Source organism: Homo sapiens, chromosome 2, assembly GCF_000001405.40.
Source record: "Homo sapiens chromosome 2, GRCh38.p14 Primary Assembly".
Lineage (NCBI taxonomy): Eukaryota > Metazoa > Chordata > Mammalia > Primates > Hominidae > Homo > Homo sapiens.
The window spans coordinates 190,492,236-190,509,852 of record NC_000002.12 but is presented as its reverse complement, the minus strand read 5'-3'; the positions used below and the strand labels follow the sequence as shown (position 1 = coordinate 190,509,852).

Sequence of the window (17,617 nt, the reverse complement as noted above, 5' to 3'; positions counted from 1 at the left end):
TTGGTCAGGCTGGTCTCTAACTCCTGACCTCGTGATCTGCCTGCCTTGGCCTCCCAAAGTGCTGGGATTACAGGCATGAGCCACCGCACCCAGCTGGAAAATCATTTTTAAAGTTCACTAAGAAAGACGTCTGTCCCAAAATTTTTCCTTATTGCTTTCTCTTCCTCATAACTTTATCCAAATAACAGTGCCCTCAAATTAAAGATGGAAGGGGGAAGTATTTGAAACAAAATAATGAATAATAATAAATTCAAACTAATAAAAAATAGAGACAAGAAGGAATTAGAAAACAGGAGTGAGTACATTTGGCTTACTTAGTGCTTATATATCTGCCCTAATTCTCTGCCCTTTCCATGAATAGCTGTTTTTAGAGGGATCACATAAGCCATTCCCATTTTTACACCCACTGTGTAAATGCCACCCTGTATTGATGCAAAGTCAAATTTAATTAAAGGGGATAAATAGCAAGGGAACATGTTATCTTTCAAATAAACCTTCCTGAGATAACATTAACTTTATTTAAAACAAAAAACTTGTTAGATTTGCAGACTTTGTTCTTGGAGGAAGCCACTTGTCACCTGAAGAAATCAGTCTGCATGAAGAGCAGTATGGCCTTGGGGGTGCCTTCTTGGAAGAGCAGCTCTTTAACCCGAGTACTGCCTGACATGCGACCTTCAAGTTGACTTCATTCTGGACAAGGAAGTGGGCAAAGGGCAGGGATTCTATTAAAGTTAGGCAGAACTGTTCTAGTGAACGGTGGCAAAAACATTTGCTGTGGAGAAAAACAAGTCAGTCTGGAAAGGGAAACCAACCCATTTTGAAGATAACTTAGCATTCTTGGTGACTTCTGCTACTTATTGTACTGTAGGTGGATACCAAAATTCTGTGACAGCCACTACCACTTACCTTGAATGAAGGCTTTCATTAGGAACAGGGGAATGGCGTTGTTCTTAAGGGGCTAGTAAGCATGAACAGGTGCTTTGTCGACACCAGGGCACTAAATCTGGTCTTAATCCCCTGAACCTGTGTCAGAAGACTCTGCAATACTCTTCCTATAGTTCGTCAGTATAAGTCCTTAAAGAGACCTGAGACATGCTGGACCAGTGTTTTCCAAAGTACAGCTCACAGGCTACTACCAAGTGTTGGTCAATAAAGGTATTCTGAGGTCAACTAAGATTGATATAAAGTTAAACTAATGTATTTCAGTATCTCTCAGAGGCATTCATAATGCTCGTGTGCACTGTGAATCTCCCAAAGGGGAGAAATTGTGTGCTGCAGTTTCTTGCTTAATTTGACCACAGAACTCTTTTTCATGAGATTAATATTCCTTGGAACACGTTTGGAAAATGCTAATGGTGGTGGAACTGAGCTCATGAGAGGTTAAATAACTTGTGCAAGACCACACTGAGATGCAGCACTGGTAGAAATCCAGCCCTGATGTATCCTTTGACTCAGGTAGACAAGATCTTCAGGTGCAAGCTTAGGAGCCATCTCCCTACAGCCATGGGCCTCACAATGTTGGTGGCTTTACTTTTTATTTTTCAATAATGGCCAACTTGCTATTTAACTGTGATAAAGGGAAATGTTTCTGAAGACATTTTAAAGTTTTTTATACATACGTAAGATTTTTATATACATACGTAAGGATTAGATACTATGATTACTTTTTTTGTATTTTGAAATTGAAGGCACTTAAGCTCTTGTGATATTTTGAATTGACTGATCCATTTAAAAAATTGTTTAGCTATAGGTGTTTGTAACAATTTCTTATAAAATGATTTTTTTTCTTGATTCATGATATTAAACTCCAGATTGAAATGAGGGGCTATGAGCTTTGACCCTGAGGAAAGAAGGCCAAAACATAGATCTGAGGAAAGATTTGAACATGGCAAGACAATCTCAGGGTTAAGATGTTGCTAAGTTGATTCTGAGAATCAAAATCAGGCTTTTTTTCCTGTGATGGGATCATAAAAATAATCTTTTTATCAGGACAAAGGTTATGGGCGAAGGATAGACAGAATTTTGGCACTGCTGCTTTCCTGAGCCAAATTAAGTAGTTTTTCTAAATCATGAAAAAAGAGCATGACTATCCATCTGGAACTTCCTAGATTGATTTTCAAATGATAGTTCCTCTTTGAAGTATTTACAGGTCTGTTTTTGCCAGACATCTTTTCATACTGGGAACTTTTTTTTTTGTAATATCCACTAAAGTTAATCTGCCTTTATATAGACTTGGATTTTTAAAAAACCAAAGGATATATTTTCCATTCAGATTTATGGTAACTATTTTATGAGTAAATAGAAGTTTGAATATTTTTCTTATGGTTTAATCTGTTTTTTTAAATTATATTTATTGGTGATATAAATGTATCAGATGTATCAGTGCCTGTGCTCACCAAGTTCGTCTCCTAAGAAGCAGTTTGTGTGCTACAACGTATGCGTATGAGTAAATAACACATGAACAATCTGCTGGGGCTGCCAGGTACATCCCAGCCAGGACAGCCGCTGGGCCAGGGGGAAGAGGTACTGCTGAGGGAAGGAAGCAGCTCTTCATGGGCAGCTAGCCAGGTGTAACCATCACAGTAAAAACAGCCAAAGAGAGAAGAACAACAGCAGTCCTTGAGGATATTGTTTTCCATGTTTATTTTTAGAGGAAATCATAGGTTTGTCAGTTTCTGCTTTGTGACTACTGTGAGAAGCTAAACAATTAGAAGCATTACTTGTGATATTTTTAGTGTATTTATGTTGTTTTCATTTGATTTGGGGGTGTATTATAGTACTGATCACAATTCTAATCCCCATCAAGCAATGTACAGATAACTCTTCCAAGAAATGTTTCCCTCCTTTCTTTCCTCCCTTCCCTTCTCTTTCTCCCTCACCTCCTGTCTCCTCTCCTCCTCCCTTTTTAAAGGCCTTTGAACAGTTTAAACGACCACTCAATAAAATGGCTCTGCCCTTCACAGGTGGTTGGAAGTTGGCTTTGTGCCTCACACACCATAGGTGTATAATTATGGAGCCTAACAGATCCCTTTGTTATTTTACTGCTTATGCTTGGTGCCTACAAAAGCTTACTGTTGTTAGCAAGTTGAACTCTTTGACACCAGATGTGTGGGTGAGATATAGTGTAGGTGGCTATGCTTAAACAATCGTATCATTCAAGTGTTATTTTTAAAAGGTTTTAAAACACATTTTACATATCACAAAAAATGCTTTGTGAATTAGTTGTATGGTTTGCCAGTAATACCTAGGGCTGAATTACAGGGGAATGTCCATCTGACATGAAGGACAATATTTCAATTTATGACTTTTTAAAAAAATCTGGAAATTTCATATATTTAGATTTTAAGAGGGTTTGGAATAGATGATGGATTACATAAAAATATCTAAATATGTGGAGGAATTAAGATCCTGAAATGATGTCAACTAAAGAAATGCTCTCTTACATTATGCTATGTGTGATTGTTTCCCAGAGTGAGAGATGTACAATTTTATAAATTAGCTTTTCTTGTCCAACTGAAAGCAAGATAGACAACATAATGGATGTGGAAGTTTGAAGACACCTGCAGGAAGACAGAGAGGTACTTTTAGGTGACAACAGGAGCAAGCTGCCTTCTGAGAGAGCCTGCTGGGTGGCATGACATTGAAGAGTGAACTATTTGGGTGTGACTGTTAGCCTTATTGACTTAGAACCCTGCTTTTTGTTATTGCACCATAAGACCTGTCTCTTGTTAGTCAATTCATATAGTTGGTACAGGTAGTGATTCACAACCAAAAATATAACTAGCATAAGGATAAAAACACTTGACTTGATATGACCAGCAGATTCTCTCTCAGAAGACAGATTTACAAGGGGTCAAATTATAATAAGGTGGCTACTTGGTGAACTGAAACAAAACAAAGGGAGCTTGTTATATAATTCACATGGTTAATGTCATGAGGCCAAAGAGTTTGATGCAGATGCCACCCCCCACCCCAGTGGGGCTAGCCTTGTTAATGGGATGAGATACCAGGTCTGTTGACAAAGACCACGCCTTCCTTTATGCAGGTCCTGCCAACTTTTTCCTCTCTGTGACTGCTGTTTTTCTAATCTTCATTATTGACAAACATCCCACCCCCTCTGATGGGCATATTTTTACTCAGATGTGTTAAAATCTTTAGTCTTTCTCTGGCCTAGGAGTTGGATTATCTTTTAAAGGTAACTGTATTTTTTTTGTTATGATCCCTGAATGTGAAACCTTAATAGGTCACCAGAGATTTGAAATGAATACTATACTTATCTAATATAAATCTTGGAAGATACAGTTAGTGGGTAGCTTCTCTATTATTTAAATAATTTGAGGCATCTGTTTTTTTAGATTTGGTCGTTTTTCCAAAAAAGAAAGACTGATTGAAAAGAGAAAGGGAAAGAATACCAACATTGACTAGAGATCCATCAGGCACTATATGAGGCACCTTCGATACCTCTTAATTTGCACCTCATGACCACTCTGTGATATGTTTTGGTATTTTCATTTTACAGATGAGGAAAGACCCAGAGAAGGTAGGAGAAAGTTGCTGAAGGACACATATAGCTAAAGTGGTAGAATCAGAATTCAAGCCCCCATATGTCTGCTTCCAGGGCTCATATTCTACTTCCTTTATTTATTACCATCTTTTTAAGAAAGTGAAGGAAATGACCCCATGGATAAGGCATTCAAGAGGTGACTACATCTGCTGATGTTATACACATACCAGTCATTTGTGCCCCGCAGCAATGGACACTGTAGTCTGCGGCTCTTGTCAGTGCTTCTCAGACTGTCTGGGGTGATGGACCAGTTTCCCTCTAGTTCATCACTAGTAATACTTTTGTAAGATACACTAAATTATTAGAAAAATGAAATAATCTTTGAAAGAAAAGACATACAGAATATAAGCACGATGATCATGTCATGACAATGTCAACTTGCCATACATATTTTGAAATGTCTAATTTCTATGTTGTCACATACCAGCAGTAGTTTGACAGCACCAGTCATTGAGCACACTTTGAGTAGCACTGGTCTACATGTTATTTTTCTAAGATGCCAGTGATCTTTTCAGGAAACAAAAAAAATCCGACCTTTTTTCAAATGTAAGTTTACAATTTAAAAGAATAGCATCCTACACTGACTATTGGAGAGAGTATGGTATATAATTTGTTAAATGATTATAAAATTGTTTACTTTTGTTGACACCTTTAAGAAGAAAAAGAAAAATGAAAATTATGAAACTTATAACCTCTCTCAGCAGACTTTTGCACTTTATGGAATTGTCACCATCATCACTTTTTTCCATCCTCTTCAACTTAAGTTTTGCTTAATTTTGTCTCTTAACTAACTCATATCCCCAACCACTTAATGTTTACAATGCATGTTGGAATTGAATGCCTTACTGTACAGCTTACTAGATATAGGTAAATATGTATAGTATGGCACTGTAGATTGGGAGAATGGAATATGATTATAGATTTAAATGGCAATAAAATAATAGAACTAGACCCTGGTTGGGGAAATGAGACAGCGCTCCTCCTGCCCCGGGCTCTTTGCTGCACAACAATGGCAGTATTTATGGAGCACACACTGTATGTCAGATAACTCATTTTAAACATCAACCTGTTACATACCTACTGTAATCACTTCCGTTTTACAGAGGTGGGTCCTGAGGCCCAGAGATGTTCTATGTGTGTGTAAGTTCTCACTGGCAGAGCTGGGACTCAAATGCAAACAGTGTGACTCCAGGGCGCACACTCCTAACCCCAACATTGTAAGGTCCTTGGGTTGCCATCTAAAAACTGGGACTTTCCTGGAGCCACAGTGGGGGACAAGTGGTCCTATATTAGCTGCTTGAAGCAGATGGCAGCTGGTTGAGAGTTAGGTACACAGCTGGACTGGCACTTAGCCGGACTGGCTCACTTTCCCCCCATGTTAGACATCAGCAAGTTTCCAGTTACTCCCTTATAAGAAGCCACAGTTTGTCCTGGCATAGTGTAAATTACTTTCTGAGATCTGACAAACCACTCCCCCTTTCACCCCTTTTCTGTCCCCACCTAGGCACCAGCCTCTCTCCCAACTGCCCCATGGTTTGGAATTCTTAAGCCAGATATTCTCAAGGCTTTGCTAAACAAGCCCAGGAGTGGTTTGGGGCTTCAGAAGTAGCCTTTGTCTTGTCTCCATGCTCCAAAGGGCTGAAGAACTTCCAAATGGAAAATCACCTCTTTCTTCCCTACAGTCACTGTCAAAGCATACCTTCATTTTCATAGAATCAACATAACCTTAAGCTCTAACCTCTCACACTGAAGCTGAGGAAACAGGCCCAGAGATCTCCCGAAAGGATCTCTTCCTGTATACCCGTGCTGTCCAGTATGGTAGCCTTGAGCCACGTGTGGCTATTTAAAATTAATTAGAAACCTAATTCCCCAGAAAATTAGCCACATGTCAGTTGTTTAATAGCCACATATGGCTTATGGTTACCATCCTGGACAGTGTAAATAGAGAACTTCCCATCTTCCCAGTAAGTCCTACCGGACAGTACAGAGCTGTGGGTGTGTCTGCTTTCCCTTCCTGATTTCCATGGCCCTGGCCAGAGTCCCTACCAACCTCTGGGTTTCCTGTGCAGTTATCAGTCCAGCCAACTCACCTGCAGAGTGTAAAGGGTCTGGTGTACCTACATTTCACAAAGCATCAGGAATTTGAAGCATTTCTAGGAATCTAGGAATATCTAGAAATCCTAAATGGAAATACAACCACACACATACACATATCAGGCATGTATGGTAATGGTTCAGGCTGGGCTGCTTTATGGCTTCCTCTGCCATAACAGATGCAGGGAATGGCCTCCCTGCCTCCTGGGGTGGGGTAAGGTGCTAAGCGGACCAGGGCTTTGACATTAGGAAGATTTGAGTTTGAATCCTGGCTTTGTGACCTTGATCTCATAACTTAAACTGTTAGCTTCAGAATTCTCTTGTTTAAAATGGGGATAGTGATAGGAACACCTCCAGTTTTTGTTAAGGGCAAAATGATAATCTCATCAGCACACTACAAGCACCCAATATCCACGGATGTGGTTCCCTTTTCCTAGATTCCCTGCTGAACTCCAAATTGGCAGAGAGGAATATTGCCTAAGTAATGGTCTCAGTACCTCAGCAGTACTGGAAGGAATTGCCAATTAGAGGGAAGCTATTAGCCAGCTATCCACTTCATGTGACCCATGGCAGGATTAATAAGCCAGTAAAGCAGGGTTGCTCTTCCTGTGAATTCCTTAACACTTTTCATGAGGTTTACTGCCTGCTGGACAATGTATGTATTATAATCTATTCCTAAAACTTGAGGAATAGTTCAATAATTAGCAGTTAACCACTTTGGATCCACACAAGCTCAGCACTCGGTAATTTACTGTTTCTACAACCATAGGAGAAAGAGTAGGAAGTAAGTCATTAAGGCAGTGATTACCAGCCTGGGCTCTGTGACACCCCTGTGTGTGTTGAGGGATCTCAAGAGGGGTTACAAAATCTCAAATCAAAATGTAATTTGAATTCACTTTAATATTTTTTAAGGTAGCATATGGCACTTTGGGGACAGGAAGAAAAAGTCACAAAGTCCACAAACCCATGAAGGTGTCAGCTCACAAGGCTGGAAATGACTGCATTATCGATTCTGCTGTCACAGTAAATGTTCCATAACAAAGGCATGTTGAATTTGGTCTCATTCATTAGAGTATAGGACTTTTGTTTGGTCACATCTTTATCATTTAAGAAACATTTAAAAATGGTATTCATTTTTATTTCAACATGTCAACTGTGCATTTCCAAAACAGCAGGCTTTTCAAAGGAATAAATCAGAACTGTAAACACAAGATACAGTACAAGTTTTTGACTTCCTACAGTCAGTTTCACAAATCCACATACTGTACATTCATAGGTGAGGTTAAGCCTGTCACCCATTTCTTTATTTCTATAATTACACAAGCATAATAAATACATCTGATTTTAAAGGTCACTTAAAATGAGTCATAATTTACAGTACAGTACGTTTCAGTTCAAGTGCAAAAAATAACTATTTGCTGAATTCTATTTCTTTCAGTTATTTTATTTTTAAGCTGTGTTTTATTGTGAAGCGAGACATCCAAGTGTAGAATTTCTTATCCCAAATGCAGTATTGGGCAGAACTATGGTGTCATGGAGAAGCCCTCACTTTACAATTGATCCTGTCTAATCAGGGTCAGAGGGTAAGGTGAGTTGCTCATTTCGACTGTTCTTTTCTTTCCTCTCTCTCCTGTGCTCATCCACAGCTATTATAAATTATATAATTCACCTTTATTCAGCTAAAACAGTTTTCCCTTTTCCACACTCCCCCCAGGTTTCCTGTTAACCTCTGCTTTGATTTTTAGTGGCAAGCTTTACGTGCGATCCACCCAGCCATTGTTCTGGCTGCAGTTGTAACGTTTGCAGTTGCATACATTACATTGTCCAGTGTCTGACTGTGTCTTCATGAGAACGAATATACTGAGATTTTCTTTCTTTAGTCATTGGAAAGTATAGTTGCTACTTATTGCCATCCTTCCCATTCATGGTTTCCTATTTACCACCTTTTCCTCACCAAAAACAAAACAAAACTGACCCAATATGTAATTTCTAAAAATTGTATCCTTCCCCCAGGCACTTAAATCTTATACTGTGATTTGTAACTAGTACTGCTTATTTAAGGAACTCTTAGGAATTCAGTGATTTTTGTGTGTTTCATTCCCTCAGCTAATTAGAGCCTGAATTACTATAAGATAGTAAATAGCGAGAGAGGCTATTTACAGTATCAATATATTTAGTAAACTCTTGTCTATCAAAACACAGGATACTGAGTTGGTTGGTTGATTTGAAATAATCGCTTGTTTCTGTTTTTTTTCTCAAAGCCCATTTAAAACAAAAGGCATTTTTAAGCTCGGCTTAGCTTGCAGTAGTTAATAATAGCTTCTGTTGCTCAAAGAATTATTTCCATTATATGCCATACACATATAAAAATATATTTGCTAAAGATATGTAAAGTTTCTGATGAAACTTTTAACTTCATTTTTTAACTTTAACTTTTAACTTTATTTTTAACAAAAGCACATGTGCTACTTTTATCTGGTTACTTTTTAAATATATCTTGTAATTTTTTAAACGGTTCTCTCCAAGAAAAAAGAAAGTATAGATGAATTCTATCTCTTCCCAGTTTGTGTTAGGAACCAAATAAGAATAAATAATCAGAAGAGGGAAATTATATCCACATTCACCTCGAAACACTTTCATTCCCTCCACTTACTTAGTGTAACTGCCGGTTTCAACTCTTACTGCACTGGCAGAGAAATTCTATCATCCTTAACCTAACCAAGCAAAGAACTGAAAGTCCTCATTGAACTCCATTTCCCTGTTGTAATTCCAATGAGATTACGAAAGTTTACCTTTTCCTGCCAATATGTACTGTAGCTCCTGTGTGTGTGTTTCCATGTTAATGAGTTTAGATATTTAGAAGCATATGCAGTGCTGTGCTCCTCCAGGGGAGGCATATCCTGGCTGGGGGGCCTCACCCTGTGTCCTGGCTGAGGAGCCTGATTCCATGCAGGGTGTGAGATGAGCAGGATGCCCTCAGTGTCCTCCCGCGGCCAGCTGAGCCTGCTGCTCTTCACTCTCCTCTGTGCACGGGTCCACACTGGGGTGAGCGGGGCTGGTCTGCGTCTGAGATGCTGCTGCGTCAGGGGATGGCTGGTTTCTAGATGGGTCAGAGTGAGTCTCACATGGGACAGGCTGGGCTCTACCAGCAGGAGAATTTTCCCTATTCTCATTGGTCCCCTGGAGGTAAAAAACAGGAGATGCCCCATGATCAGTGATAGCAAATAAATCCAACTTTTTATATATGCTTTCAAGTAAGACAGGAAACATGGGGAGATCATCCGGAAGTGCCCATTTCAGGGACCAAGTAATAGAGGAATAAGGATAGAATGTCTTACCTTTCATCTCCTTTCCTATGTGCAACTGCCAGAGCCGCATGAAAAACACAAACACTATAAGCAGACGTGTCTTGTGGAAAAAGGAACATTACTACCAAAATGTCTGTTAGTACTTGGTAAACAGTTTACATCAGCAAATATTTACTGAGCCCCCCAAGCCATGTGGCAAGTCGCTGGGCAAGCACTATGGAATAACTGAAACTCAGGCCGCTTGCTAAGACCACAGAATCCAAGAGCCAGAAGACACTTTGTCTAACAGGAGGTAAATAAGGGGTTCTTATCCTTGGAGGCAGAGCTGGGAAAGAATGTCCTGTAATTAAGAGTCCTGATATATATTTGGTATTTCAAAATGTGCACCAAAAGTTAGATAAGACAGAACATCCACATAAAGAAGTGAATGTAAACAAGCACTTGTGTAACCAACTGTAAATAACCATGAGTAGAACATCACCAGCAGCAATTTCCATAAATGCCATATTGGTTGTACAAATAAAAAAAAATTTAAATGGATTCTCCCCCAAATTAGTACCCATCACTTTTTGGCTGAACACCCAAATAAAAATGTTCATTTCTGTGATTCTACAATGAAAGAAAAAGAAACTTAGTATAATGACTTCTAAGAATAACTACAGCATACCTGCCAGTTTTTATTAATCCTAACATACCAGAAACATTTTATTTATTTATTTATTATTGTTATTATAATTTTGAGACGGAGTCTCACTCTGTCGCCTAGGCCGGAGTGCAGTGGCGTGACCTTGGCTCACTGCAACCTCCTCCTGCTGGGTTCAAGCAATTCTCTGCCTCAGCCTTCCATAGTAGCTGGGATTACAGGCACCCGCCACCATGCCCAGCTAATTTTTATATTTTTAGTAGAGACGGGGTTTCACCATCTTGGCCAGGCTGGTCTTGAACTCCTGACCTCGTGATCCACCCACCTCGGCCTCCCAAAGTGCTTGGATTACAGGCATAAGCCACCATGCCCAGCCCAGAAAAAAATTTATTAATCCTAACATACCAGAAAAAAAGCGCCACATCAAAAATTTTATGTGGCTTCTGTGAAAATGAGGATGAGTACACAAAGTAATGAAAATATTGCTACTCAAGCAGCAGATATTAAAATCATCCTTTCTCCTGTTTAGTCTTCTTGCTTTAAGGTATTAAAATCCTCCATATGCATCTCCCACCACAATATCTGGTTCTTGACTGAGCAGAGTAATGATGTGAGTTTATTATCTTGATAAATTAATAAATAGGATCATGCATGGACTAGCATGCATATGGTTATCAGTAAAGAACCAGATTTGGTTAAAATTTCACAAAGATTTTATGTTAGCTTACAAAGTGAGATTAATTAACAGTTCAACAAATTTTCTGAAAGGGGAATTACTCAAATGACCCTTATTTTTAAATCTTTCCCCTTTATTTTTATGTGTCCTCTGAAGCTACTCCAGACAAAGCTGACGTGACTTATCAAATAAAAGGGAGTGATTATCATGAGATGGGGGAACTGAGCCTATTTCTTTGGCTAAATTGTTTATAGAAGTTACACTCATTTTCCAAAGTCGGGATACACCTGTACAATTATCCACACTTTTATCAACATGCTTTAACTTTACTCAGGAAAGATCACTCCTCTGGGGACAAGAAAAATCACACTTTTAGACTTATTTTTCAGGTGAGGCCACCTGCATAACCATAATTCCACTGAGTTAGGTGTCCTATCAGACCCATACAGTGGCTCAGATTAATTAATTCAACAAATATTTATTGTGGTCCTATAATATAATGCCCCCACTAGAATTTTGGAATTACAGAGACAACCATCAATACTGAAATTTAAAACAAATATACAATGAAAGAATGGATTAATTTATTTTATTTCTTTCAAGAAGTGAAAGAATCATAACCTCTGAAGTTTTCCTGAACTCCATAAGGCAGAATATTCTCTCTATGGGACCTTGTATACACCCTCTTTAACTCAGTGCTCACAGAGTACTGAAATTGTTTGCATGTCTATTTCCCCCACCAGACTTTCAATAAATCTTGTTGAATGAAAAGTGAGTAATTAAAACTGAGCCCAGTTAAGGTATCTTGAGTGACAGGTAATATTGCTAGCCCAGCAAAGGAACTGTACCTGTAAAGGCTGTATCTCAGAAGCACGGTTGTCTCTTGTGAGTTGCATCATCTCTTTAATTTGGTAGAGTGCATAGACAAAGGTCACCCAGGGAGAAGAGCTGACTCCCCAGGCTGGTTTGTTCACATCTTCCTGTTCTTCCTGGTGCTTAGTTTTCTTGGGTGGAAGTCTGGGCTCAATGCGTGGCATGACATCTTCTGTCTGTTGCTGTACCAAGTCGATGGTTGCTATAGGAACGGGACTGGAGGGAACAGGAATTCTTTCTGCCAACATTGTCTTGTCTGGAGAGAAAAGAATGTTTAAACTATTTTTTCAGCATTTTCTACATATTTGAACAAAGGTAAAAATAAATAAATAAACCAAGAATCCCATATACCCATTCCAGAGTGCTTGATAATATTAATAAATTGCTGGTTACCAATGACTTCATTACTTGGTGTAAGTACTGAATCAATGAACATGATGTTTATCTTTGGGTCTCTTTATAGGCCTTAATAGACATTAGCATATATATTTAAGAAATATATTTTTCATTTAACTTAGAACATCAGTGGGGCATAGGTTATAATGAGTGTTGCCTTAGGCCCATTTACAGGATTATGATTAAAAAGACGTCAAAACAGGAAAAGCCACGTGATAGTTATTTTTTAAAAAATGTTTTATTCCCACAGGTTTTTGGGGAACAGGTGGTATTTGGTTACGTAAGTTCTCTAATGGTGATTTGTGAGATTTTGGTGCAACCATCACCCAAGCAGTATACAATGAACCCAATTTGTAGTCTTGTATCCCTCACCCCTTTCCCACCCTTTCCCCTGAGTCCCCAAAGTCCATCATATCATTCTTATGCCTTTGCATCCTCATAGCCTAGCTCCCACTTATGAGTGAGAATATACGATGTTTGGTTTTCCATTCTTGAGTTGCTTCACTTAGAATATGGTCTCCAGTTCCATCCAGGTTGCTGTGAATGCCATTAATTCATTCCTTTTTATGGCTGAGTAGTATTCCATTGTGTATGTATGTATATGTGTGTGTGTGTATATACACACACACATACACACACATATACACATATACATATATATACACACATATACATACATACACACACTACAGTTTCTTTATCCACTCATTGATTGATGGGCATTTGGGCTGGTTCCACATTTTTGCAATTGTGATGCTATAAACATGCATGTACAAGTATCTTTTTCATATAATGACTTCTTTTCCTCTGGGTAGATACCCAGTAGTGGGATTGCTGGATCAAATGGTAGTTCTACTTTTAGTTCTTAAGAAATCTCCACACTGTTTTCCATAGTGTTTGTACAGCTTACATTCCTACCAGCAGTGTAGAAGTGTTTCCTTTTCACTACATCCACACCAACATCAATTATTTTTTGATTATTTGATAATGGCCATTCTTGTGGGAGTAAGGTGGTATCACATTGTGGTTTTGATTTGCATTTCCCTGATCACTAGTGATGTTGACCATTGTTTCATGTTTGTTGGCCATTTGTGTATCTTTGCTTGAGAATTGTTTATGCATGTCCTTAGTCCACTCTTTGGTGTTTTTTTTTTTCTTGCTAATTTGTTTGAGTTCGTCATAGATTCTGGATATTAGTCCTTTGTCGGATATATAGACTGAAGATTTTCTCCCACTCTGTGGGTTGTCTGTTTACTCTGCTGACTGTTCCTTTTGCTGTGCAAAAGCTCTTTAGTTTAATTAAGTCCCATCTATTTATCTTTGTTTTTGTTGCATTTGCTTTTGGGTTCTTGGTCACGAAATCTCTGCCTAAGCCAATGTCTAGAAGGGTTTTTCTGATGTTATCTTCTAGAATTTTAAGTTTCAGGTCTTAGATTTAAGTCCTTGATCCATCTTGAGTTGATTTTTTTATACGGTGAGAAATGAGGATCCAGTTTCATTCTCCTACATGTGGCTTGCCAATTATCCCAGCACCATTTGTTGAATAGAGTATCCTTTCCCCCTTTATGTTTCTGTTTGCTTTGTCAAATATCAGTTGGCTGTATTTGGCTTTATTTATGGGTTTTCTATTCTGTTTCATTGGTCCATGGGCCAGTTTTTATACCAGTACCATGCTGTTTTGGTGACTATGGCCTTATAGTATAGTTTGAAATCAGGTAGTGTGATGCCTCCAGATTTGTTCTTTTTGCTTAGTCTCACTTTGGCTATGCAGGCTCTTTTTTGGCTCCATATGAAATTTAGGATTGTTTTTTCTAGTTCTGTGAAGAATGATGGTGGTATTTGATGGGAATTGCATTGAATTTGTAGATTGCTTTTAGCAGTATGGTCATTTTCACAATATTGATTCTACCCATCCATGAGCATGGGATATGTTTCCATTTGTGTATGTCATGTATGATTTCTTTCAGCAGTGTTTTGTAGTTTTCCTTGTAGAGGTCTTTCAGCTCCTTGGTTAGGTGTATTCCTAAATACTTTATTTTTTGCAGCTATTATAAAAGGTGTTGGGTTCTTGATTTGATTCTCATCTTGGTCACTGTTGGTGTACAGCAGAGCTACTGATTTGTGTACATTAATTTTGTATCCTGAAACTTTGCTGAATTCATTTATCAGTTCTAAGAGCTTTTAGGAGGAGTCTTTAGGGTTTTCTAGGTATACAATCTTATCATCAGCAAACAGCGACAGTTTGACTTCCTCTTTACCTATTTGGATGCCCTTTATTTCCTTCTCTTGTCTGACTGCTCTGGCTAGGACTTCCAGTACTATGTTGAATAGAAGTGGTGAGAGTGGGCATCCTTGTCTTGTTCCAATTTTCAGAGGGAATGCTTCCAACTTCTCCCTGTTCAGTATTATGTTGGCTGTGGGTTTATCACAAATGGCTTTTATTTCACTGTGTTATGTCTCTTGTATGCTGATTTTGCTAAGGGTTTTAATCATAAAGGGATGCTGGATTTCATCAAATGCTTTTTCTGCGTCTACTGAGATGATCATGTGATTTTTGTTTTTAATTCTGTTTATGTGGTGAAAGACATTTATTGGCTTGCATATGTTAAACCATTCCTGCATCCCTGGTATGAAACCCAGTTGATCATGGTGGATTATCTTTTTGACATGCTGTTGGATTCGATTAGCTAGTATTTTGTTAAGGATTTTTGCATTGATGTTCATCAGGGATATTGGTCTGTAGTTTTCTTTTTTTGTTATGTCCTTTCCTGGTTTTGTTATTAGGGTGATACTGGCTTCATAGAATGTTTTAGGGAGGATTCCCTCTTTCTCTATCTTGTGGAATAGTGTCAATAGGATTGGTACCAATTCTTCTTTGAATGCCTGATAGAATTCAGCTGTGACTCCATCTGGTCCTGGACTTTTTTTTGTTGGCAATTTTTTTATTACTGATTCAGTCTCACTACTTAGTTGTCTGTTCAGGGTTTCTAATTCTTCCTGATTTAAGCTAGGAGGGTTGTGTCTTTCAAGGAATTTATCTCCTCTGCGTTTTCCAGTTTATGCATGTAAAGGTGTTAATAGTAGCCTTGAATGATCTTTTGTATTTCTGTGGTGTCAGTTGTAATATTTCCTGTTTTGTTTCTAATTAAGCTTATTTGGATTTTCTCTTTTCTTTTCTTGGTTAATCTTGTTAATGATATATCAATTTTATTTATCTTTTCAAACAACCAGCTTTTTGTTTCATTTATTTTTTGTATTTTTTTTCCTTCAATTTCATTTAGTTATTCTCTCATCTTGGTTATTTCCTTTCTTCTGCTGGGTTTGGTTTGTTCTTGTTTCTCTAGTTCCTTGAGGTGTGACCTTAGATTGTCTATTTGTGTTCTTTCATACTTTTTGATGTAGGCATTTAGGCTATGACCTTTCCCCTTAGCATTGCCTTTGCTGTATCCCAGAGGTTTTGATAGGTTGTGTCACTATTATTGTTCAGTTCAATTTTAAATTTCCATCTTGATTTTGCTGTTGACCCAATGATAATTCAGGAGGTTATTTAATTTCCATTTATTTGCATGGTTTTGAAGGTTCCTTTTGGAGTTGATTTCCAGTTTTATTCCACTGTGGTCTGAGAGAGTACTTGATATAATTTCAATTTTCTTAAATTTATTGAGACTTGTTTTATGGCCTATCATATAGTCTATCTTGGAGAAAGTTCCATGCACTGATGAATATTCTGCAGTTGTTGGGTAGAATGTTCTGTAAATATCTGTTAAGTTCATTTGTTCCAGGGTATAGTTTAAATCCATTGTTTCTTTGTTGACTTTGTCTTGATGTCCTGTCTAGTGCTGTCAGTGGAGTACTGACGTCTCCCACTATTATTGTGTTGCTGTATATCTCATTACTTAGGTCTGGTAGTGATTGTTTTATAAATTTGGGAGCTCCAGTGTTAGGTGTATGTATATTGAAGATTGTGAAATTTTCCTGTTGGGCAAGGCCTTTTATCATTATATAATGTCACCCTTTGTCTTTTTTAACTGCTGTTGCTTTTATGTTTGCTTTGTCTGATGTAAGAATAGCTACTTCTGCTTGCTTTTGGTGTCCATTTGCATGGAATGTCTTTTTCCACCCCTTTACCTTAAATTTATGTGAGTTCCTATGTGTTAGGCGAGTCTCTTGAAGGCAGCAGATACTTGGTTGGTGAATTCTTATCCATTCTGCAATTCTGTATCTTTTAAGTGGAGCATTTAGGCCATTTACATTCAATGTTAGTATTGAAATGTGAGGTACTATTCCAATCATTGTGTTATTTGTTGCCTATATACCTTGCTTTTTTTTTTAATTGTATTTTGTTTTATAGGTCCTGTGAGATTTATGCTTTAAAGAGGTTCTGTTTGGATGTGTTTCCAGGATTTGTTTCAAGATTTAGAGCTCCTTTCAGCTCTTGTAGTGCTGGCTTGGTGGTGAGTGGCAAATTCTTGTAGTTCTGGCTTGGTAGTTCTTGGAGTGCTGGCTTGGTAGTTCTTGGAGTGCTGGCTTGGTAGTGGTGAATTCTCTCAGCATTTGTTTGTCTGAAAAAGACTGTATCTTTCCTTTATTTATGAAGCTTAGTTTCACTGGATACAAAATTCTTGGCTGGTAATTGTTTTGTTTTGTTAGCATTGCCTTTGCTGTATCCCAGAGGTTTTGATAGGTTGTGTCACTATTATTGTTCAGTTCAATTTTAAATTTCCATATTGATTTTGCTGTTGACCCAATGATAATTCAGGAGGTTATTTAATTTCCATTTATTTATGGAAATTAATTATGAGGCTGAACATAGGGCCTCAATCCCTTCTAGCTTGTAGGGTTTCTGCTGAGAAATCTGCTGTTAATCTGAGAGGTTTTCCTTTATAGGTTATCTGGTGCTTTTGCCTCACAGCTCTTAAGATTCTTTCCTTCCTCTTGACTTTAGATAGCCTGATGACAATGTGCCTAGGCAATGATCTCTTTGCAATGAATTTCCCAGGTGTTCTTTGGGATTCTTGTATTTGGATGTTTAGGTCTCTAGCAAGTTTTCCTTGATTATTTCA

At 38.1% G+C, this 17,617-nt stretch overlaps 2 protein-coding genes across 25 annotated transcripts in view; one reads left to right on the top strand and one right to left on the bottom strand.

The window, feature by feature from the left end:
- NEMP2 (nuclear envelope integral membrane protein 2) overlaps positions 1-17,617 on the top strand; it is a 227,365-nt gene that overhangs the window by 138,933 nt on the left and 70,815 nt on the right. For 6 of the 13 annotated variants that reach the window (NR_136298.2, XM_047441958.1, NM_001142645.2 and 3 more), the window contains exon 9: positions 541-5,515. The exons of the other annotated variants lie outside the window; for them this stretch is intronic. Coding sequence is in view for 5 of the 6 variants with exons in the window: in XM_047441958.1 (XP_047297914.1) it covers positions 541-664 (124 nt within the window). In the remaining variant the exon portion in view is untranslated. Of the gene's footprint in view, positions 1-540; positions 5,516-17,617 lie in introns of those variants that run through there. 13 annotated transcript variants of the gene reach the window in all.
- Positions 7,539-17,617, bottom strand: part of MFSD6 (major facilitator superfamily domain containing 6) — a 94,739-nt gene continuing 84,660 nt past the window's right edge. For 7 of the 12 annotated variants that reach the window (XM_047444824.1, XM_011511368.1, NM_017694.4 and 4 more), the window contains 2 exons: positions 12,134-12,414; positions 7,539-9,838 (listed from right to left, as the gene is read on the bottom strand). In XM_047444824.1, the coding sequence (XP_047300780.1) occupies positions 9,635-9,838; positions 12,134-12,414 (485 nt within the window). In that variant the 3' untranslated portion in view covers positions 7,539-9,634. Of the gene's footprint in view, positions 9,839-9,996; positions 10,022-12,133; positions 12,415-17,617 lie in introns of all 12 variants that reach the window. The other 5 variants (NM_001375989.1, XM_047444825.1, NM_001375992.1 and 2 more) reach the window with 1 other exon arrangement.